Below are 23,257 nucleotides of genomic sequence, written 5' to 3'. Positions count from 1 at the left end.
TGGCTCACTGCAGTCTCCATCTCCCAGGTTCAAGCGAGTCTCCTGCCTCAGCCTCCTAAGTAGCTGGAACAACAGGCATGCACCACCATGTCTGACTAATTTTTTTTTTTTTTTGAGACAGAGTCTCGCTCTATCACCCAGGCTGGAATGCAGTGGCGCGATCTCGGCTCACTGCAAACTCCGCCTCCTGGGTTCACACCATTCTCCTGCCTCAGCCTCCCGAGTAGCTGGGACTACAGGCGCCGGCCACCACGCCCGGCTAATTTTTTGTATTTTTAGTAGAGACGGGGTTTCACCGTATTAGCCAGGATGGTCTCGATCTCCTGCCCTGGTGATCTACCTGCCTCGGCCTCCCAAAGTGCTGGGATTATAGGCGTGAGCCACCGCGCCCGGCCATGCCTGACTAATTTTTGTACTTTTAGTAGAGACGAGGTTTCACCATGTTGGCCAGACTGGTCTCGAACTCCTGACCTCGATGATCCGCCTGACTCGGTCTCCCAAAGTGCTGGGATTATAGGTTTGAGCCACCACGCCCGGCCTTACATTTTTATATTTTTAAATATTTATTTATTTATTGAGAGACATGGTCTCACTTTATCACCCAGGCTAGCGTACAGTGGTGCAATCATGGCTCACTGCAGCTTTTTTTTTTTTTTTTTTTTTTGAGATGGAGACTCACTCTGTTGCTCAGGCTGGAGTGCAGTGGCGCGATCTCGGCTCACTGCAACCTTCGCCTCCCTGCAACCTTCGCCTCCCAGGTTCAAGTGATTTTCCTGCTTCAGCCTCCCAAGTAGCTGGGATTACAAGTGTGCACCACCACGCCCAGCTAATTTTTGTATTTTTAGTAGAGACGGGGTTTCACCATGTTGACCAGGATGGTCTTGATCTCCTGACCTCTGCCCGCCTCGGCCTCCCAAAGTGCTGGGATTACAGGCGTGAGACACCGTGCCCGGCCGGCTCACTGCAGCTTCAACCTCCCAGGCTCAGGTGATCCTCCCACCTCAGCTTCCTGAGTAGCTGGGGCTACAGATGCACATGACCACCCCCTGCTAAATATACATTTTTAATTGTTGAAATTAGATGTTAAATGTATATCTATAAATTAATATGTTGCTATCCTCTTGACATTTAGCCATGCATTTTCCATGCTTTTACATTTTATAATTACTTGTACTTGTATGCTGTAATATGTACAAATCTATATAATATTCCATTGTATTGATATAGCTATCTTTATCCCCCTTAATATAAGACCTGTTTTTTTGTTGTTGTTGTTGTTGTTTTGTTTTGAGACAGGGTCTCACTCTGTCACCAGGCTGGAGTGCACTGATGCAATCTCGGCTCACTGCAACCTCCGCCTCCCTGGTTCAAGCGATTCTCCTGCCTCAGCCTCCTGAGTAGCTGGGACTACGGGTGCTTGCCATCAGGCCTGGCCAATTTTTTTTTGTATTTTTAGTAGAGGTGAGGTTTCACCATGTTGGTCAGGCTGGTCTCAAACTCCTGACCTCAGGTGACCCACCCACCTCAGCCTCCCAAAGTGCTGGGATTATGGGCATGAGCCACCGTGCCCGGCCCAGACCTGTTTTTTACTCCCCAATATTTTTTATCTTCCATTACAAATAAAGATACACATTGGATATACTTGTGGGGAAAAAAAGAGCTAAGTACTTCTTAAATAAATGAATGGATATATAAATGAAGTTATGAAGTTGATTAAGGTTGAGAGGAAAATGGCTACATGAAGGAAGGCTTTTAACAGGGGGATTTGTCTTAGAATCAGTTCTCAAGAGAGCTGAAGTGCCATATATCACTATCCTCAAGAAACTTCCCTCCCTTCTTTGCCTCCTCTTGATCCTCCTCGCTTTCCTTTTAAAGTCTGATGGGCAGATATTATTAAATAGCAATCATTTCATCTCAAGCTTAACATCCTAAACTCAACATGACCTAAACAAAATTCTTAATTCTAAATCCACGTATCCCCCATAAAAACATGCTTTGCATCCATACTTCCTCAACTTAACATGGTTCTTCTTTTCCCCTCATGCTCTACACTTTACCTTCTAGCGTGTTCAAAACACATCCAGAATTTATCCACTTTTCTCTATCTCTACTCCCTCATCCTATTCCAAACCACTTTCATCTCTCACTTGGATTAATCTTAACAGGATCTCACTTGTCTCTCTTCTTCCTCTGGTTCTTGACTGTCCCTTCCCCCTTCCTTGCCCTAAGAGCCAGAGTAGTTTCTTAAAAATTCCAATCAGATTGGCTGGGCACGGTGGCTCACGCCTGTAATCCCAGCACTTTGGGAGGCCAAGGCGGCCGGATCACAAGGTCAGGAGATCAAGACCATCCTGGCTAACATGGAAAAAATTAGCCTGGTGTGGCGGCAGGCACCTGTAGTCCCAGCTACTCGGGAGGCTGAGGCAGGAGAATGGCGTGAACCCAGGAGGTGGCGCTTGCAGTGAGCCGAGATCGTGCCACTGCTCTCCAGCCTGGGCCACAGAGCGAAACTCTGTCTCAAAAAATAAAATAAAATAAAATAAAATAAAATAAAAAAGAAATTCCAATCAGATCATGCTGCTTCCCTTTTTAAAATTCCATGAAGTTTCCCACTGCACCTCGAATAAAATCCAAACTCCTTACCCTGATCTACAAAGCCCTCTCCATCTGGACTCCCCACTGCTGCCCCCACTCCTCACCCTTATCTGCTCCAGCCACACTGGTCTTTCTCATGCCAAACTCCTTCCTGAGCTTGTTCCAGCCTGGCTTCCCGGGAACACCCTACCTAAAGATGACTTGGCTGCTTTCTTCCCCCATTTCATTCTCAGCTCGGTGTCACCTCCCACCTTCTCAAAGACCTTTCCAGATCACCACAGCTAAGACAGCACCCCTTCCATTAAAAGTTTACCATTTCAGGCTGGGTGTGGTGGCTCACACCTGTAATCCCAGCACTTTGGGAAGCCGAGGCAGGTGGATCACTTGAGGTCAGAAGTTCAAGACCAGCCTGGCCAACATGGTGAAACCCCGCCTCTACTAAAGATACAAAAAATCAGCCAGGTGTGGTGTTGTGCGCCTGTAATCCCAGCTACTCAGGGGGCTGAGGCAGGAGAATCGCTTGAATCCGGGAGGCAGAAGTTGCAGCGAGCTGAGATCACGGCACTGCACTCCAGTCTGGGCGAGAGAGTGAGACTCCGTCTCAAAAAAAAAAAAAAAAAGCTTACCATTTCAGTTTTCCTTTCTTAACAGCATTTATGGCCCGAAATTATCTTTCTTAGTTGTTTATTCACTCTGTGAGAACAGGTCCTTGTTTATCCTGTTTATCACCATATCCTCTATGATTAGAAGAGTGAGAGCAGGGCCTGACCTTAGTAAAGACTTGAATAAACATCAGTTAAATATTGAGTGAATTACACATTTCTGACTGTTATACTCAAAGATTTTTCTTCCTGGAAAATTGATCTCAAAGGGAAAGCAAGGTGATTTTCACATGTGTGTGTGTGTGTTTTTACATAAATGTTACAGGATCTTAGTGTTGACCAGACCTAGGCTTTGAGAAGCAAAGTAACAGGCAGGCTAAAGCACAGAGCTATTCTCTATATTAAATGTTACGACTGATCTTGACAATACACCGGATAGGAACTCCATTCCTGCATTTCTTAACATGACTAACACATATTAACGAGGTTTAATTATGACGTATATATCCTTTCTCAACAGTGCTTAAAAGTTTATAAACATGCCAGGATCCTCTGATGAGAAATCAGTCAGTGAGGTTTCCTGGGACACAGTAGTAGCTCAATAAATATTCACTAAGTGAATATTTTATTTTATTTTGAGACAGGGTCTCACTGTCACCCAGGCTGTAGTGGCAATTATGGTTCACTACAGCCTTGGCCTCCTGGGCTTAAGCAATCGTCCCACCTTAGCCTCCCAAGTAGCTGGGATTACAGACAGGTGGCACCATGCCCCAGCTAATTTTTGTATGTTTTGTAGAGATGGGGGTCTCACTATGTTGCCCAGGCTGGTCTCGAACTCCTGGCCTCAAGTGATCCTCCTACCTCAGCCTCCCAAAGTGCTGGGATTACAGGCATAAGCCACCACACTCAGCCATGAATGATATTTTTTTTTTGAGACAGAGTCTCGCTCTGTCACCCAGGCTGGAGTGCAGTGCCACAATCTCGGCTCACTGCAAGCTCTGCCTCCTGGGTTCACGCCATTCTCCTGCCTCAGCCTCCCAAGTAGCTGGGACTACAGGCGCACGCGGCCACGCCCGGCTAATTTTTTGTATTTTTAGTAGAGACGGGGTTTCACCGTGTTAGCCAGGATGGTCTCGATCTCCTGACCTTGTGATCCGCCTGCCTCAGCCTCCCAAAGTGCCGGGATTACAGGCATGAGACACGGTGCCTGGCCCATGAATGATATTTTAATGTTTTCTAACTGTGCAATGTTATTGAAGAAATATTCTTCTCTAGCTTCAAATAAGCTAGTATCTTTGAGGTATCAAAAAATACCTCAAAGGTATTGAGGTATCAATGTATTGAGGTATCAGTGCTCACAAGAAAACAAAAAGGAAACAGAAGTTTTCATTAGTGAAATAAGTCAGTTTATTTTATTTCTAACAAGGCCTTTTTCTCCTATAATTAAGACAAACCATTTTACACTTTATAATAACATAACTTAGTTTTTAGTATTTTCAAAAGGGAAAGATTTTGGGTGGGGGGAATTTAGGAAGTCAAATATTTTAGAAGGAGTAACTATAGAAGTTACTTTTTCAATCTTAATATATTAACAGGCTTGTTACCAGGTACATTACCCAGCATTTTTTCTTACAAGGAATCTATCAAGTACTAGCCAACAAATAGTCTACATTTAGAAACTGAGGGTAGAAATGTCTGTATTTTAATAGGAAACAAGCATCTAAAATACAAATCACATGTCTTTAACAAGGCAATTTACATAATTAGGTGTAAGTTTTTAATTAACTTTATGTTCCTTAGGATCCTAGCAAACACTCAGTTGACTGTATCTCAAGTTCAAACTGCACTCACCTGGCTATAAAGGTAAACATCACAATGGAATTGGGCCTGTCTGACTAGGGAAAAAGATCACTTCAATATTGCACATTTCCTTTCTTTAAAAACAAGGATTAAGTCAGGGCCATCTTGGTTCTGAATCTCTCCATTTTTGTTGGGAGAAGACTAACCATCTCTTTACTAAGTTCTAGCTCAACTTCTATTTCCTGGGCGGCCTCAGGATGCTTTTCACAGTAATCAACAATAAATTTGTAATGTTCCAATGATGTTGCCAAATTTTCCAGCTCTTTCTTGGGATCTGCAGTAATGATTTTGCCATAGAGACGGGCAACTCGAAACTTAGCTAACATGGCAGGGCGAAGAACATCTTCCCCTATATGCTCAGGGAATACTTTATTTGGGTCTCTCAGGGAGTCTAAGAAGAGCTGGTAGTACTTCAGTGCTGACTTATTAAGATTATTTATTTTTTTTACAATGTGTGAATCAGGATCCCTTAGCCTGTCAGCAATGGCAACCTTCAAATCCATCATATCATAGTAAGCATGTGCAATTTCAAACTGGATCTGTCTGTTGACCAACAGATAATACTGTGGATTCAGGTCTACAGTTAGGGGCTCTAGCATGGCTATTCTGCGTTTATGCATCTTGCACCGTCTCTCCATGTCAGTTTCAAAGAATGCAAGCACCTTAAACAGAGCACTGTGGTCTTGGACAACTTCAATATGGTCAGTGACATAACCATCAATCTGAAAGAACTCTTTTGCCTCAAAGACATAGTGCTGACCCAATAAGAAAAGTTCTCTGGCTTCTTCAAAATCTAAAGGTCTCAAGTAGCTCACTTTCTCTTCTACTGCAGAGATGGCATCACACAGTTCACCGGTTCCAAACTGCACAGCTTTTTTCCGAATGCTTTCCTCCTCATCTAGTTCTTTTTTCCTTAAAGCTCTAAGTTCAGACTGTTTATCAAGATCAAGCTCTCCTATGTTGTCCTGAAGGAAAAAAAAATAAATTATGGTTAAGTAGGACACTCACCTCCTGCTGTTAAATAATATTAAAGCAAACTTCAGAGTTTTTTAGAAGAGAAGTCTCTTACTTTCCAGCCTGGTTTAGAAGGGTATCATAATCTTAAACACCTTTGAAAACTTCTTTCTTTCTTCCGATTATATTAAAAACTCAAGAAATGTGGAAAAAAAAGTATTTAAATAGACAAGCTGCTTACATATCATTTATTCTGAGGAACTGAAATTTATTTACAGTTACTCCTTCCAATAAGATAAATGCTACATGTAAAAGTACTTTGAGAATTGTGAAACATTATATATATGTGATACATTACTCCCAGCACTTTGGGAGGCCAAGGCGGACAGATCACGAGGTCAGGAGTTGAAGACCAGCCTGGCCAACATAGTGAAACTCTGTCTCTACTAAAAATATAAAAAATTAGCCAGGCATGGTGGCAGGCGCCTGTAATCCCAGCTACTTGAGAGGCTGAGGCAGGAGAATCGCTTGAACCCAGGAGGCAGAGGTTGCAGTAAGTGGAGATTGCGCCACAGCACTCCAGCCTGGGTGACAGTGCAAGACTCCATCTCAAGAAACAAACAAACAAACAAAAAGACTGTAATCTACATCATAAAAATGTTTCACAAGGATGCCATTAAGATTAATGCTACCATGTTTATGCTATTAGTTATTTAGTGAAATATATCAGACAGAAATGCTCTAGGTCTCTTAAAGACATCAAAGTGAACAAAGAGTTAAATCTACCTTCCTAGTTAAAGTTTTATCTCCTCTACCTCTTGGGGGTGGGGGGGGGCAAATAAAAAAAGAAAGAATAACTAAGGTGGTTAAGAAATAGGGTAAGCTCTTCTTGGCCAATAAAAATAAATAATAGATCCCAAGGCCTTTTCTTCTTTTCACTTGACACTGTCTCACCAATGATCTTTCCACAAACCCTTCAAGGTTTCCAAATGCTCAGAAGATGAAGACAACAATGCTTCAAAGCCTTGATTGCTCCAGCCCCTTTCTAACTCTAACTTTAGCTTATATCACACTCCCTCTCCCTCAGCTCCAACCTCACAGCCTTTGCTCCATCCCTTCTGATATCATCCTCCCTTACGCCACAGAACTTCTAAACATGTTGCTTCAGCTCCTTGACATGGTGTGCCTTCTTTTCTTCAGTCTAGGTAACTCCTACTTACTCATCCCCAGAGCTTGCTTGTTATTTCCTCCTATTGTGCCTTCTCATATCATGTGTCTCTCCTTTGTGGAACTTAGCAAAATTGTACTTTTACATGAAGTTAAAGGCTAGGTTCATTTTTGTTCATCATAGTATCCTTGGCCAATGACTAGCACAGGGTTGGCATAAATAAATACTTAATTGAATAAATTTATGTATGTCTTAAAGCTTGAACTGAAGAAGGTCTTTCAGATAAATATACAGATGATAAAGGATGAAGTTAAGGTTAAAAAATAAAGTCAGGGGTGAGCGCAGTGGCTCACACCTGTAATCCCAGCACTTTGGGAGGCCGACGTGGGTGGATCGCTTGAGCTCAAGAGTTCAAGACCAGCCTGGGCAACATGGTAAAACATCGTCTCTAACAAAAATACAAAGAATTAGCCGGGCACAGTGGCACACACCTGTTGTCCCAGTTACTTGGCAGGCTGATGTAGGAGGACTGCTTGAGCCAGGGAGGTGGAGGATGCAGTGAGTGGAGATCATGCCACTGCACTCCAGCCCGGGTGACAGAAACCCCATCTCAAAAAACAAAACTGGGTTTAAGGAAAATCTGAGTAGTTTAGTAGCATGGCAAATATGTGAGTTTAAACTAACCAAGTGATGAAGTTTTAAGTTCCCAGACTAGAAACATCAACTAAATGAAAGGTAAGGGTCAAATCATAGTGCGATTTGCTTGACACAATTACTTCAAATGTAGATCATAAGTCTCTAAATCTTGTATACTTCCTTCCTTCTTGGGCTGCTTGTTTACTTACATGTTCTCTCTAGGATGCTTATTTAAATTAGCCTACTGTTTTGCTCCAATAGTCCCTGCAACCCTCCTTTTCCAGCTTTCTTTACCTGACCAGAATAAACTTGACAGCTCTTCCTGGCTCCAAATTCTCTACACATAAAGCCCCACAGTTATTCTCCCTACTTCCTGTCTTTCCTTAATATGCCTCCTCTTTACCCTCTGACCTCTAAAATTATCTTCATCTTTTCAAGACCTATGCTTCTGATGTGTTGAGGTTTGTTTGTTTGGTTTTCTTTCGTTTAGTAGTTTCACAAGGTTCTATATTATTTACCACTGATATGGTTTGGATTTGTGTCCCTGGCCAAATCTCACATTAAATTGGAGGAGGGACCTGGTGGGAGGTGACTGGATCACTGGGGGCAGATTTCCTCCTTGCTGTTCTTGTGGTAATGAGTGAGCTCTCTCATGAGATCTGATGGTTTTGAAGTGTGTGGCATTTCCCCCTTTGCCCTCTCTCTCTCTCCTGCTTGCCATGGTAAGACATGCTTGCTTCTCTTTCGCCTTCCGCCATGATTCTAAGTTTCCTGAGGGCTCCTAGTCATGCTTCCTGTTAAGCCTGAGGAACTGTGAGTCAATTAACCTCTTTTCTTCATAAATTACCCAGTCTCAGGTAGTTCTTTTGTTTTGTTACCCAGGCTGGAGTGCAGTGGTGCAGTCTTGGCTCACTGCAACTTCTGCCTCCTGGGCTCAAGTGATTCTCCTGCCTCAGCCTCCCCAGTAGCTGGGACTATAGGTGCACACCACCATGCCTGGCTAATTTTTTGTATTTTTGGTAGAGACAGGGTTTCAACATGTTGTCTAGGCTGGTCTCAAACTCATGGGCTCAAGTGATCCACCCACCTTGGCCTCCCAAAGTGCTGGGATTATAGGCATGAGGCGCTGTACCTGGCCTCAAGTAGTTCTTTATAGCAGTGTGAGAACAGACTAATACAACCACTAAAGATTATTATACTTTTATCAAGCAGAGTCCCATGTAAAAAAAAAAAATTATCATACTTTAATACACAATATAAAAAAATAAAAGCACAATGAATCCCCCAGGAAATCTTCCTATGTATCTACACTTAGTATATTGCATCTAAATGATTAATTTTATTATCCTCCCTAGTGCTTAGAAACTAGGATTGGGCATAAATTAATAATGATGATGGTAGTTAACATTTATTAAGGACTTAGTATGTCTCAGGCACTTTTCCGAGGCCTTAATATATACTGACTTAACTCCCATAACAACAGTATTAAGTACTATTATCTCCAACTTACTTGTGAGGAAATAGAGGCAAAAATATATTAAGTAAATTGCCACAAAGACATAGCTACGAAGCGGCAGAGCTGGAGTTCATACCTACCTAGTGTATTTCAAGTCCATGCTCTTCACTGCCATCAGTTCTGCTTCTATTTTTGAACTATTACATGAGCTATTTCTTAAAAGTCTACCCTTTTAGATTTTATCAAGTCCATGCTGTGTGTAAGATAACACTGGGAAGTATATAAAGATTAGTAAGGGCTTGGCCAGGTGTGGTTGCTCACACCTGTAATCCCAGCACTTTGGGAGGCCGAGATGGATGGATCACTTGAGGTCAGGAGTTCGAGACCAGCTTGGCCAAAATGGTGAAACCCCATCTACACTAAAAAGACAAAAATTAGCCAGGCATGGTGGCAGGCACCTGTAATCCCAGCTACTCAGGAGGCTGAGGCAGGAGAATCCTTTGAACCCAGGAAGCAGAGGTTGCAGCTGCGATCACACCACTGCACTCCAGCACGGGCGACAGAGCAAAACTCCGTCTCAAAAAAAAAAAAAAAAAAAAAAAAAAAAAGATTAGGCACAGTGGCTCACACCTGTAATCCCAGCACTTTGGGAGGCCAAGGCAGGAAGATCACTTGAGCCCAGGAGTTCAAGACCAGCCTTGGCAACACAGTGAGAGCCAGTCTCTACAAAATAATTTAAAAATTAACTGGATATGGTGGCACACGCCTGTACTCCAAGGATGAGGTGGGAGGACTGCATGAGCCGGGGAGACCAAGGTTGCAGTGACCCATGATCACGCCACCACACTCCAGCCTGGGAAACAGAGCGAGAGCCTGTCTAAAAAAAAAAAAAAAAAGAATATGATATCGTTCCCAGCTCTCAAGAAGCTTATATTCTAACCAAAGAAAAGTCTTCAAGGAAGAGGTAGTATTTAAGATAGGCCTTGAATGATGAGTAAGATTTATTTTATTTATTTATTTATTTAGAGATGGAGTCTCGCTCTGTTGCCCAGGCTGGAGTGCAGTGGTCCAATCTCGGCTCACGCAGCCTCTGCCTCCCGGATTCAAGCAATTCGAAGAATACGATTTAAAACCAAGAAAGAAATATTTACGAAAACATTCTACACACCTTTCATATTAAACACAATGTGACCCCAATGAGCACAATCCCCACTATGAGTTTTTACTTACAATTTCCTCATTTAAGAAAGAAAAAGGCAGCTTCTGACTGCATTACCTGCATGGAGAGTTGGGCATTCTGCATGAGAGTCAAACAGTATTTGATCCAGCACCTTGCTATTTCCCCCTTTCTTTGATGATAAAGCTCTGGCACTTCTCCTTCAGCTTCAGGAGCTAAAATATACATGTGATTTGTTTAAGTTAATGGTCACAACTGTAATTTTCATTGGGTACTGTAATTTTTTTAATATCACTTTTTCCTGACTATAAAAGTAACAGATCTTTACTGAAGCAGGGGGCTTGGGGAAAAGGGAAGAAAGATCCCCCCCCAAATCCTACTACCCAGAAGCACTCACTATTATTTTTGCATATTTCTTTCTCGCACCACAAACACTTTACTCATATCATTATCAACTCTTAGCTTCATTTTTAAGTACACCATTATATACAATTAAATAGATATTCTATTATTTAACCATTCTTCTAATTCTAACCTGGAATTTGTTGTTTCCAATTCTTTACTATCACAAAAACGTCTATGTCACACAACAGATGGTTGTGGAGAACCTGGTGCTAAACTATTCAGATGACCTGCTTCTGGGTCAGAGTGTCATACATAGCAGAGCAGCTTTCTTGCTGTAATCTACAAAGTCAGCTGTCAACACAAAGCTTTGTAAAGTTTATACACATACACACATTTTTTTTAAACTTGAAACATGAGTATAATTGTGCAAAAATCTGTCTGGATTTTGGATTTCTTCCTTAGGGCAGATTCCTAGAAGTGGAATTTACTGAGTAAAAGAGTTTACACAATTTTAAATAATTCACAACATACAGCCAAATTATTTTCAACAAATATGCCAACCAACAATATATGAGAATGCTCAATAAGAACATTTTGAAAACACTGGTCACTGTCATTTTTTCAGCTATTATGAAGAGTAAAAACAAAATAATATCTCACGATATTACTTTAAATAAAGTGAATTATTAAATAATATCTCAGCAATTTAGTTTTTATTCATTTTTTGAGACAAGTGCCTCTTAGACTTCAACTAATCTATAATTAATGTAGTTAATATATTAGGGGAGAAAGCAACTATTTACTTTGATAATGTACATTCCTTTAGCTCTTAAGAGTCTCTGCATTTTTCAGATCCACAATTAGAATGTCCATTTGTAAGGAAGACATGATGTTTCAAAATCTAAAACATCGTAAGAAGGTTGGAAACTGTTCAACAGTGAGCAATAGAATCAAACTATTTTTAAAAATAAACTATTTTTAAAGAAAATGATGAACTTATTAAAAAACCTGTTAAATGACTCAAAGACACATGTTAACTGTGATTTTCTAAGACTAAAGGAAACACTATACTTAAAAAGATGGGTATTTGGCAACATCGCTTATGCATGTAGTATTCCAACCAAAAATATATCATCTGAATCATGGCATAAGGAAACATCACACAAACCCCAGCTGGCAGTAATTCTATGAAATAACTGGCCTATATTCTTAATATTAAGTGATGAAAGGGAAAGAAAGGCTGAGGAACAATTCCAGACGAAAAATGCCTGAAGAGATGTGACAACTGAATGCATTATGCAATCTTGAACTGTATAATCCAGTACTGGCAAACAAATGCTAGAAGGAATATTATGGCAACAACTGATGAAATAGAAATATGCAGTGTAGATAAAAGAATTGTATCAATGTTACTTTTTTTTTTTTAATTTCTTTAAAAACATAGAGATGGGGTCTCACTATGTTGATCAGGCTTGTCTTGAACTCCTGGCCCCTCCCATCTTGGCCTCCCAAAATCTAGCATTACAGGCGTGGGCCACCATGCCTGGCCAATGTTACATTTCTTGAATTTGATAAATGATCTATGATTATGTAAGAAAATATTCTTCTTAGGAAATATATACTAAAGTATGAAAGGGTAAAAGAGCCTAATGTATGTAACCTTCTCTCCAATGGTTCAGAGAGAAAAATAAAATTTGATTCCAAGCGAGGAAAATACTAAAAATTGGTGCATTTAGAAGGGCATATGATAGCTCTTCTGTTCTTGCAACTTTTCAAAAGTTTAAAATAATTTCAAAATAAAACTTTTTTTAAAAGCTATGTAAAACATGCAAAGGTAAACTTACTGTCTTCTGTGGCTGAGATCTTTCCAGTTTGACCAAAAATGACATTAGCAGCTGATAAACAGTGCCTGGCCTCCATAAAGCATAGCTATTGGGGAAATAAACAACAGTGAATGCAACTATCACACAGCTTTATTTGCAACTGATACTTGCATAATTTCTTTTAATATGGGAAAAGGTATAAAATCAGATAAAAATACTACAAAGGAGGCCCTGTAGAGTTGCAGATCATTCAGAAGGTACAAAAGATATATTATCATATTATCTGGTTAAAATGTAACCTCAAAGGTTAAAATATTAATGCCCCCAAACTCTTAATAATAATCCACTCGGATTGAAAGACAACTGCCAACTGAAAGTTAGCTCTCCTTATACAATCAATAGATATACAGGAATGGCTGTCATCCTAGACTTAAACTGTCTCAAAAACTCCTTTAGGTTCAGTCTAAGTAGCCAAAATCCCATGCACAATAAATTCTTAGACTATTTACATTGTGTCAGAAGACTGAATATATATATATATATATATATATATATTTTTTTTTTTTTTTACGAGACAGGGGTCTCACTCTGGCCCAAGGCTGGAGTGCAGTGGCACAATCATAGTTCACTGCAGCCTCAACCTCCTGGTCTTAAGGGATCCTCCCACCTTTAGCCTCCAAGCCTGACTAATTCTGGGGTTTCTCTATGTTGCCTAAACAGGTCTCCAACTCCTGGCCTGAAGCAATGCTCCCACCTTGGCCTCCCAGGGTGCTGGGGTTATAGATGTAAGCCACCTTGCCCAGCCTGAGGATTTAATTTTTATTAGGTTTAGAGAGCCCCTTTACATCCTACTATACAAAGGCAAATAGGATAAACTCAGGTAAGAAGATATTCCTGTGTTCTAAAATCTTTAAACTTTACATACAATAAGGCTTCCCACCAAGTTTTAAAGTCAACAGACTTCTACAGATGAACCTTATGGAACTGCTTTACCAACACTCTTGAAGACTTCATAATTCAATTCCGGGCATGGCAAACTTCTCAAACAATTAGAGAAGATCTCCTTGTTAATAGAAACATTTTGTATTTGTCATGTAAGTCAAAGGACCACCCAGCAGAAGTTCAAAGTTAAAGTCCAACTTTTAGTTGGAAGCCACCCTCATTAAATAGAATGTCTACTTAATATTAGTAATACCTGAAAGGCTTTAAATGGTTGGCTATAACTTTAAAATTGCAGCATTAAATGTATCTTTCCATTATGGCAAATTCAGAAGCCATCTTGAGAATAGCTGGACACGTGTAGTATTAGCCCAGCAACATCTATAGATAAAAATGTGTTAAATCTTAAAAGCCAAAAGAAAGTTAGAGTTTATATAATGAAACTTTAATTATCTCTCTATAATCCAATCCCTTAACATTTATCGTCATTTCAGCTTTGTCCAGATTGGCTCCCTGTGAGCAACCACTGCTAGAACAGTGAGTGTCTTATGCCCTCTAGGTGGCTGGTAAATGTGGGACTTTAGCAGCTGCCAGGTAGGGATTCACCAAGTAGCAAAACCTCATCACTGGAATCAGATGAAGATGACAATGATATAAATGACAATTGCATTTTTAAAAACATGGTTCAAATCCCTCTTTTTGCAATACGACTTAGTTGGTTTTAACAAAAACTTAAAAAAGATTTTGGTAAAAAAATAAAAGTGCAGGGTGTGGGAGGTCTCATGAAAATTACTGCATGCTCCACATAAGTAATGCTTAACAACTTTAAATTTTAATCACACTTTAATATCTAGATATCTTAGTACTGCCAATTTCCATGGAGTTTTAAGTATAAATTAAAGTCACAGTGAATATGTAATTTTAAAGTTGCTAAACAGAATGAATAAGGGGCCTCCAACAGCTGTAAAAAAGATGTCACAAGCGGAGGCACTGGATAACACTTTGGATGAGGACAATGAAATGGATTCATGAGAATTAGTTAACTGAATGCTCTGATATATGCAGTAGCGTTACTTACACACTTGATCTTAGACCAAAGTCCTAGAAGCGATGCTGCAGTCACCACAGCCCTTTCTCTCCTGCTAATAGCTTTTCTGAATGAAATTCTGTGGGACAATACTTTAATCATCGGGCGCATTTACAGAACCAACGCTAACGAAATGCTCAAAAAGGATAAAGGCCCAAGGATAAGGCAGCGGGTTACCAGAGAGATGAAAGAAGGAACTCTGATAAGCAGAGAACTACCAAAATTTCAGAGAGGCTTGCGAATTCGAAATATAAATAAAAGTAATTTATATTGCTGAGATGTCTTATTAAGGATTAATAGGAAAATCTGGTTAGAAAAGGTGGTGTAAAATTATTTTAGCATTAAAAACTCTCAAGGATTAAAGGAATAAATGGGTCAATTAAGAGTACACCAACATGATGTGAGCAATGCTTTTTTAAATTTTTATGAGAAATTCTGATAAACAACTAAGAAGCTCAAAAACATTGTCCCTGTGTAACAATCCAAAAGAAGTATGGTATAAAGACCTAGAACTTTGGAACTCAGCAGACATATTTCCAACATTAAAAAATTATTACAGAGTTAATTCTGAAAAATAACTGAAATGCATCACATGCTTTTATCAAAGCCCACATTTAACAGTCAACTTCCTCAGTCAAATTCTCAGAGTTATGAGATTACCATTACGTAAAGATAAAGCTATATCTACAAGGTAAAATCTGCAATTTAAGGTAATATCTCACTAAAATGAGTTGAGATAGCGTGCCTATGTTAAAAAAAGAATTGGTCTTAGGTAACATGTAAAACAATGATAAAACTCGGTATTTTAAAACTCAAAATAATTCATACAACAAAAAGCTACAAAATTTTAGTACACGGGCAAACTGGGCTGCATTTTCGGCTTCAGTTGTACATCATAAAATACAAGCTACCTGTTTTTAAAAGATAGTATTTTCAAGGTACTACTGGTTCTATTTTTATACTCACTATTGGTACTCTGTTAGATAACTACTTCAAGAAGCTTACCTTATTGATGTAAAACTGTGACAAGGTAGCAGCATTGATAGCCCACTCTATAGGATGGTAGGCATTGTGCTCAAGCTGGCGTTTTAGTGTACTATGGCAATAGTGAGCAGCCTTCTCAAACATTTCCAGATGCTGGTAGACTTGAGCTAGGTAATATAGGTTATGAGTATAAACCTTTTCAAATCTGTAAAGAAAAAATAAACCAATATTTGTGTAATGGTTTACTTGTTTTTTTTTTTTCCTGAGACAGAGTCTCGCTCTGTTGCCCAGGCTGGAGTACAGTGGCACGATCTTGGCTCACTGCCTCCGCCTCCTGGGTTCAAGCAATTCTCCTGCCTCAGCCTCCCGAGTAGCTGGGATTACAGGCGCCTGCCACCATGCCTGGCTAATTTTTGTATTTTTGGTAGAGACGGGGTTTCACCATAATAGTCAGGCCAGTCTTGAACTCCTGACCTTGTGATCCACCCGCCTCAGCCTCCCAAAGTGCTGGGATTACAGGTGTAAGCCACCGTGTCCGGACCATGGTTTACGTTTTATAAGTAAATTTCATATATATTTATTTTGATTATCCCACCAACCCTTTGAGTTGGATTTGTTTATTGTATCTATTTGACAGATAAGGAAACTGAGTCTCAGGTTTGAACAAGGTCAAATAACAAGTAAGTGGTAAATGGAGGTTTTACTCCTGTCAGAATCCACATTCTATAACCTTTATAAGTGACTTTTTGAACAATCACTAATCTATGATATGTGGAAATATTTGCAAGGGCTGATTTCTATACCTACTCACCTTTTTGATCTCTCTTGTTCAGTAAGTTTCTCTTCTTCAGGAAGAAAACGCTCAGTAGGATCAAGAGGAGGACTCCCAACCTACAATTAAGAAAAACAAAAGCTCTTTAAAGTTTTAAACTGTAAACACCAAGTGCCCTCTTCTGGAGGACCTGGAGAAATCAACTTCTACAAGCCAAATACATTTCATTTTTTCCTAGTTCATTTTTATGTTACTCAAGAAGTAATTTTCTGTTTTTTAAATTTTTATTTATTTATTGAGACAGGGTCTCTGTCACCCAGGCTGGAGTGGAGTGGCACAATCTCGGCTTACTGTAACCTCCGTCTCCCGATCCTCCCACCTCAAGCAATCCTCCTACCTCAGCCTCCTGAGTAGCTGGAACCACAGGTGTGCACCACCAGTCCTGGCTAATTTTTATATTTTTTGTAGAGACAGGGTTTCGCTATGTTGCCCAGACTGGTCTTAAAACTCCTGGGCTCAAGCAATCCACCTGCCTTGGCCTCCCAAAGTGCTAGGATTATAGGCGTGAGCCACTGCACCCGCCTCAACAAGTAATTTTCTTAACCATAAAATCTGAGTCAAACAAATAAAAGATACCCTTTTATTTGTTTTAACCAAATGTCAAAAGTTCACATTTGACAAAATTTTACTGTTGTTGCAGTTAAACTGCAAATATGCAAAAAATCCACCAATCTGCTTTTAGACATATATAATTCTTGAAGTATTTTTTCTTTTTTTAATTCTTATTTATTTATTTAGAGATGGGGGTCTTGCTCTGTTGCCCAGGCTGGTCTTGAACTCCTAGCCTCCAGTGATCCTCCTGCCTCAGCCTCCCAAAGTGCTGAAACTACAGGCATGAGCTAAGGTGCCCAGCCTCTTTAAGTTTTTTTTTTTTTTTTTTTTTTTGGAGATGGAGTCTCGCTCTTTTGCCAGGCTGGAGTGCAGTGGTGCGATCTCGGCTCACTGCAACCTCCGCCTCCCGGGTTCAAGCGATTCACCTGCCTTAACCTCCTGGGTAGCTAGGATTACAGACACGTGCCACCACCCCCAGCTAATTTTTGTATTTTTAGTAGAGACGGGGTTTCTCCATGTTGGCCAGGATGGTCTCAATCTCTTGATCTCATGATCCGCCTGCCTCGGCCCCCGCAAAGTGCTGGGATTACAGGTGTAAGCCACCGTGCCCGACCCCTCTTTAAGTATTTCAAATGGCAATTTTGTCTGGTAAAAGGGCTCTTTTAAAAACATGCATAAGCAAAACAAATAGGAAAAATGTATATATTTCTACAGTAGTAGTATTCTAAACTGACCACTAATAAAAATCAAATGAGAGATTTTAATATTTATTCTAATATTTTTTTCTCAAGGAAATAACAAAAGTGTATTACCCCCTTTCAATACAGGGACATTAAAACCAGATTCCATTATTTATTGCCTTGGGCAAGTCACTTGATCTCTTGTGCTTCTGTTTAGTCATCTATAAAATAAGGGTAATAACAGTATCTATCTCATGAGGATTAAGTAATATTTATAAATCACTTACAACCCCCTCTTACGTCTTCCAAAACAGAACTACCTAACCTCTGCCTCATTCTACTTCTATGAGGATAGTCCCATCTAGAAACACACTCTTGCTTTTAACTGAATTCATTAAACTCAAAAAGGAACAACGTCTTTCATAAAAATATGATTTTACATTCTGGATGTAAACACTAAAAGCATCACAACGTGGGCTCCCAGGATTCACATAAAGTAAAAACAACTAAGACAGGAAGCAAGGCCCAAGGCAAACACAATAGATAAGTAATTCTTCAGAGAACTCTTCAACAATTCCGAGGGCTGCTTACCATGCTTACCCCTGTCTAGATGAGGGGAATTAATCAATATATTATTTTATGTACATACTTCACTGTTATGGCTTTCACACATCATACGTAATATTAATACAGTCAAATCAGTCTCTTAACTGAAACAGAGGTACAACTAAACACAAGGAATTTCACTATATGTGTTATGTTTCCATACAAATACTATTTTTAATGAAATACTATTGATGCTTAGTAACTTTTTTTTTTTTTTTTTTTGTAAAGACGGGTTCTTGCTTTGTTGCTCATGTTGGTCTTGAACTCCTGGCATCAAGCAATCTTCCCACCTCGGCCTCCCAAAGTGCTGGGATTATAAGTGTAAGTCACCGTGTTCAGCTTTTACATTTTATTTTACTTATTTTTGAGACAGGGTCTTATTTGGTTACCTAGGCTGGCGTGCAGTGGCAGGATCCTCGCTCACTGCTGCTTTGACCTCCTGGACTGCCCTCCCGGACTCAAGCCATCCTCCCACCTCAGCCCCCGAAGTAGCTGGGACCACAAGCACACGCCACCACACCCAGCTAATTTTTTTTTAGTTTTTGTAGAGACAGCGTATCACTATGTGGCCCAGGCTGATCTTTGAACCTCTAAGTCAGGCAATCCACCCACCTCAGCCTCCCAAAGTGCTGGGATTAAAGGCGTGAGCCACTGTGCCTGGCCTCAGACCTTACATTTTAAATTAACAATTTCACATATAAGACTGTGAGCCTAAAAGCAAGAAAGGGTAGACTAATATCTCTATTTGGTTTTGTGGCACTCTGCTCTTGTTAGTACTTCAGGAAGAAAGTTAAAATGCCAAGGTACGAGGCTGGGCATGGTGGCTTATGCCTGTAATCCCAGCACTTTGGGAGGCTGAGGTGGGCGGATCACTTGAGGTCAGGAGTTTGAGACCAGCCTGGCAACATGGTGAAACCCGGTCTCTATAAAAATACAAAAATTAGCTGGGAATGGTGGCGGGCACCTATAATCTCAGCCACTTGGGAGGCTGAGGCAGGAGAATTACTTGAACTCAAGAGGTGGAGGTTGCAGTGAGCCGAGATCACGCCACTGCACTCCAGCCTGGACAACAGAGCGAGACTCCATCTCAAAAAAAAAAAAAAGACAGAATCTTGCTCTGTCACCCAGGCTGGAGTACAGTGGTTCGATGATAGCTCACTGCAACCTCAAACTCCTGGGCTCAAGCGACCCTCCTGCCTCAATCTCCCAAGTAGCTAAAACTACAGTGTGTGCCACATCTGGCAAATTTTTTAATTTTTTGTAGTGATGAGGTCTTCCTGTGTTGCGCAGGCTGGTCTCAAACTCCTGGGCTCAAGTGATCCTCCAGCCTCAGCCTCCCAAAGTGCTGGGATTACAGGCATACCAAGCTTCTTATATCCTTTTGCAGTCAAGCATTCTGACGCATGAATTTAGCAAACATAATTTTGTATGTTTAGTCTCTTTTATGTGATATCTAATGTTATTTCAACTTTTTTAATGTTATAAAAGCACTTTATTAATGGATTTTTTTTTTTTTTGAGACAGGGTCTCACTGTCGCCCAGGCCGGAGTGCAGTGGCGTGATCTCAGTTCACTGCAGCCTCTGCCTCCCAGGTTCAAACGATTCTCCTGCCTCAGTCTCCTGAGTAGCTGGGACTACAGGCGTGCGCCACCATGCCTGCTGTTTTGTATTTTTAGTAGAGATGGGATTTCACCATGTTGCCCAAGCTGGTCTCGAATTCCTGATCTCAAGTGATCCACCTGCCTCGGCCTCCCAAAATGCTGGGATTACAGGCATGAGCCACCATGCTCAGCCGTATTAATGGATTTTTAAAGCAGATAGCTGTGACAAATAGTAATCCACAAGAAAATATTGTGCCTGATTATTTCCCTTTCATATTAAAAAAAAGTTTATTAAGGAAACAGATGGTAACACAGTGGCTTGTCACCTTTGCAGGCTGTGACCCCTAAAGTGAGAGTTTTCAATGTTGGCTCCCCAGACCCCTAAAAGTTCTACAGCATCTCTTTTGTGCTACTGCAGTGGGGAGGAGGAAGAATCTGTAGTGGAGTGGGCTCTGGGTCCTTCTAACCTGCTTAACCAGAGTAACTCAATCAATTTTTATATGCTGCATTTTCAGAAGGGTTTCACGGGTTAAAAAAAAAAAAAATCATTGAAAAACCATTGCCCTGAAGCAGTGGTTCTCAAAGTACAGTATAGTACTTAGACCAGCAGCATTTAAGCATCACCCAGGCAGGATCTTATTAAAAATGCAAATTCCTAGGCCCCACCCCAGAACTACTAAATCAGAGCCTGGATGCCCAGTCTGCTGTGCTTTCATGAGCTCTCCAGATTTTGATGGGTGCTAACATTTGAGAACCATTGCTTCAAAGATTTCAGATGTTTTGTTAAAGTAGTTCTTGTTTCCTTCAAGTAGTGCTATTTTCATGGAAAACTAAAATAGAATGTTTAGATTATAAATACAAAAACATGCAAATAGTATTTTAGGATAACACTAGAATAATATTTCCTTTATAATTGTATTTAGACTAGGTGGCCATTATGTCCTATACAAGGATTATTTTTTTAAAACCCTGAAGTCTTTAATATGCAATAATTTCAGCTATGAGGTGACTTCCCAGATGGCTCTATAGAGAAGTTCTAGGGCACAGTGAAGAGTCACACCAATATTACGAATGAGGGATTCTTACTATCAATTCTTAACTAGTTTCAATCAAAACTTAAAACTCATCTGACATGTAACATACCTCTTTCATATACTGATTATATAGTGCTTCTGATGACTCTAGGTAAGCCTGTGCAGTTTCAATTTCTTCTCTTTCAGACCACAAGATACCCAGGTTATTCTGGAAAATAAAGAAAAAGAGAAACAAACAATGATATAAGACTTCCAATTAAAGTAACTTTCATAGTTTTGAAGTCAATACTTATAACCAACCAAATAGTAGAGTTGGATTACCAATGAATTAATTATTCACAATGATATTGACCTTATGTAGTGCAGCAGGTAGCTGCTAAAATTAACCCCCAATGATCCCTGCTTCGGGGTATTCATGCTCTTAGGTAACCTCTTCCCCTTGAGTACAGGCTGGTTTTAGTGATGTGCTTCTCACGACTAGACTATCACAGAAGTGATGGAAAGTCATTTCCAAGATTAGTTAACAAAACCCTTGATTTCCATTTTGGATGCTATCTATTGCCTGCTTTTTTTTTTTTTTTTTTTTTGAGACGGAGTCTCGCTCTGTCGCCCAGGATGGAGTGCAGTGGCATGGTCTCAGCTCACTGCAAGCTCTGCCTCCCAGGTTCATACCATTCTTCTGCCTCAGCCTCCCAAGTAGCTGGGACTACAGGCGCCCGCAATCACGCCCGGCTAATTTTTTGTATTTTTAGTAGAGACGGGGTTTCACCGTTTTAGCCAGGATGGTCTCAATCTCCTGACCTCATGATCCACCCACCTCAGCCTCCCAAAGTGCTGGGATTACAGGCGTCAGCCACCGCGCCCGGTCAATTGCCTGCTCCTTCTTAAGGAAGCCAACTGCCATGTTGTGAGCCACCCTATGGAGAAGCCCATATGGAAAGGAAATGAGAGAGGTCAACAGTCTGAGGCCCTCAGTCAAAAAGCCTGTGAGGAACTGAATCCTGCCAACAACCATGTGAGTAAGTTGGAAATGGATCCTCCCGGCGTCCCAGTCTTCAAGTATTACTGCGAGCCCCAGCAGGTCAACAATATGATGTGGGCCTTTGAGTAAGGAACAATCAGCTAAGCCATGGTGAGATTCTGAGATAATAGACAAAGATGGATCAGAAACATATAATACTTTCAAAATACTATGCTCTTCCAGAGAACTTTTTTTTTAAAAAAAAAAGAAATAGGCCAGGCATGGTGGCTCACGCCTGTAATTCTAGCACTTTGGGAGGCCGAGGCAGGCAGATCACTTGAGGCGAGAAGTTCAAGACCGGCCTGGCCAAAATGGTGAAACCCCATCTCTACTAAAAACATAAAAATTAGCCAGGAGTGGTGGCGTGCACCTGTAATCCCAGCTGCTTGGGGGGCTGAGGCACGAGAACTGCCTGAACCTGGGAGGCAGAGGTTGCAGTGAGCCGAGATCGTGCCATTGCACTCCTACCTGGGTGATGGAGCAAGACTCTGTCTCAAAAACAAAACCAAAACCAAAAAATTATATATATGGGCCCGGCACAGTGGCTCACACCTGTAATCCCAGCACTTTGGGAGGCCGAAGTAGGCAGATCACTTGAGGTCAGGAGTTCGAGACCAGCCTGGCCAACGTGGTGAAACCCCATCTCTACTGAAAAATACAAAAAAAATTTAGCCGAGTGTGGTGGCAGATGCCTGTAATCCCAACTACTTGGGAGGCTGAGGCAGAAGAATTGCTTGAACCCAGGAGGTGGAGGTTACAGTGAGCCGAGATCGTGCCACTGCACTCCAGCCTGGGCTACAGATTGAGACTCTGTCTCAAAAAAAAAAAAAAAAAAAAAATATATATATATATACATATATGTATGTATGTATGTATGTATGTAGTGGGGTTAGTCTACCTCACTTCCCTTGGAATAGTCAGTCCTTCAGGCACAAGGATACTTCTGAGGCTGGCCTTCTACCATCTTTTGCCACTAGGGAAGGAAGTTTTTAATGCAGAAATTCTTAACCTCAAGTCTAAGGATCCCCAAGGCATCCATAAAGAGAATTCAGAGTCCATGAATTTGGACAGGGAAAAAAATACAAATTTCTTTTCACCAATCTCCTATTAAAATACAGCATTTCTTTTCATTATGAACACAGGAAATAAATTGTAGCAGTATTATAGGACCTGGGACTTTGTGAACAATAGAAATGAAAAAAAAAAACCTTTCTATTATGCTAGTTTGCAGATATCTCAAAATATCATTTATGCTCATCATTACTTTACAATCATCATAGATATTAGACACATTATATAATGTGT

General features: G+C 40.6%; 1 protein-coding gene across 2 annotated transcripts in view; it reads right to left on the bottom strand.

Moving 5' to 3' along the window:
* The window catches only part of KIFBP (kinesin family binding protein), a 28,180-nt gene continuing 9,503 nt past the window's right edge, over positions 4,581–23,257 (bottom strand). The window contains exons 2-7 of one of the 2 annotated variants that reach the window (NM_015634.4): positions 21,041–21,139; positions 16,438–16,517; positions 15,648–15,831; positions 12,638–12,722; positions 10,548–10,663; positions 4,581–6,022 (exon numbers count right to left, since the gene is read on the bottom strand). In NM_015634.4, coding sequence (NP_056449.1) covers positions 5,147–6,022; positions 10,548–10,663; positions 12,638–12,722; positions 15,648–15,831; positions 16,438–16,517; positions 21,041–21,139 — 1,440 coding nt within the window. In that variant the 3' untranslated portion in view covers positions 4,581–5,146. Of the gene's footprint in view, positions 6,023–10,547; positions 10,664–12,637; positions 12,723–13,811; positions 14,666–15,647; positions 15,832–16,437; positions 16,518–21,040; positions 21,140–23,257 lie in introns of those variants that run through there. The other variant, XM_017016067.2, reaches the window with a different exon arrangement.

This window comes from Homo sapiens, chromosome 10, assembly GCF_000001405.40.
Source record: "Homo sapiens chromosome 10, GRCh38.p14 Primary Assembly".
Taxonomy (NCBI): domain Eukaryota; kingdom Metazoa; phylum Chordata; class Mammalia; order Primates; family Hominidae; genus Homo; species Homo sapiens.
The sequence above is the reverse complement of the archived record's forward strand: the minus strand, read 5'-3'. Positions and strand labels throughout refer to the sequence as shown.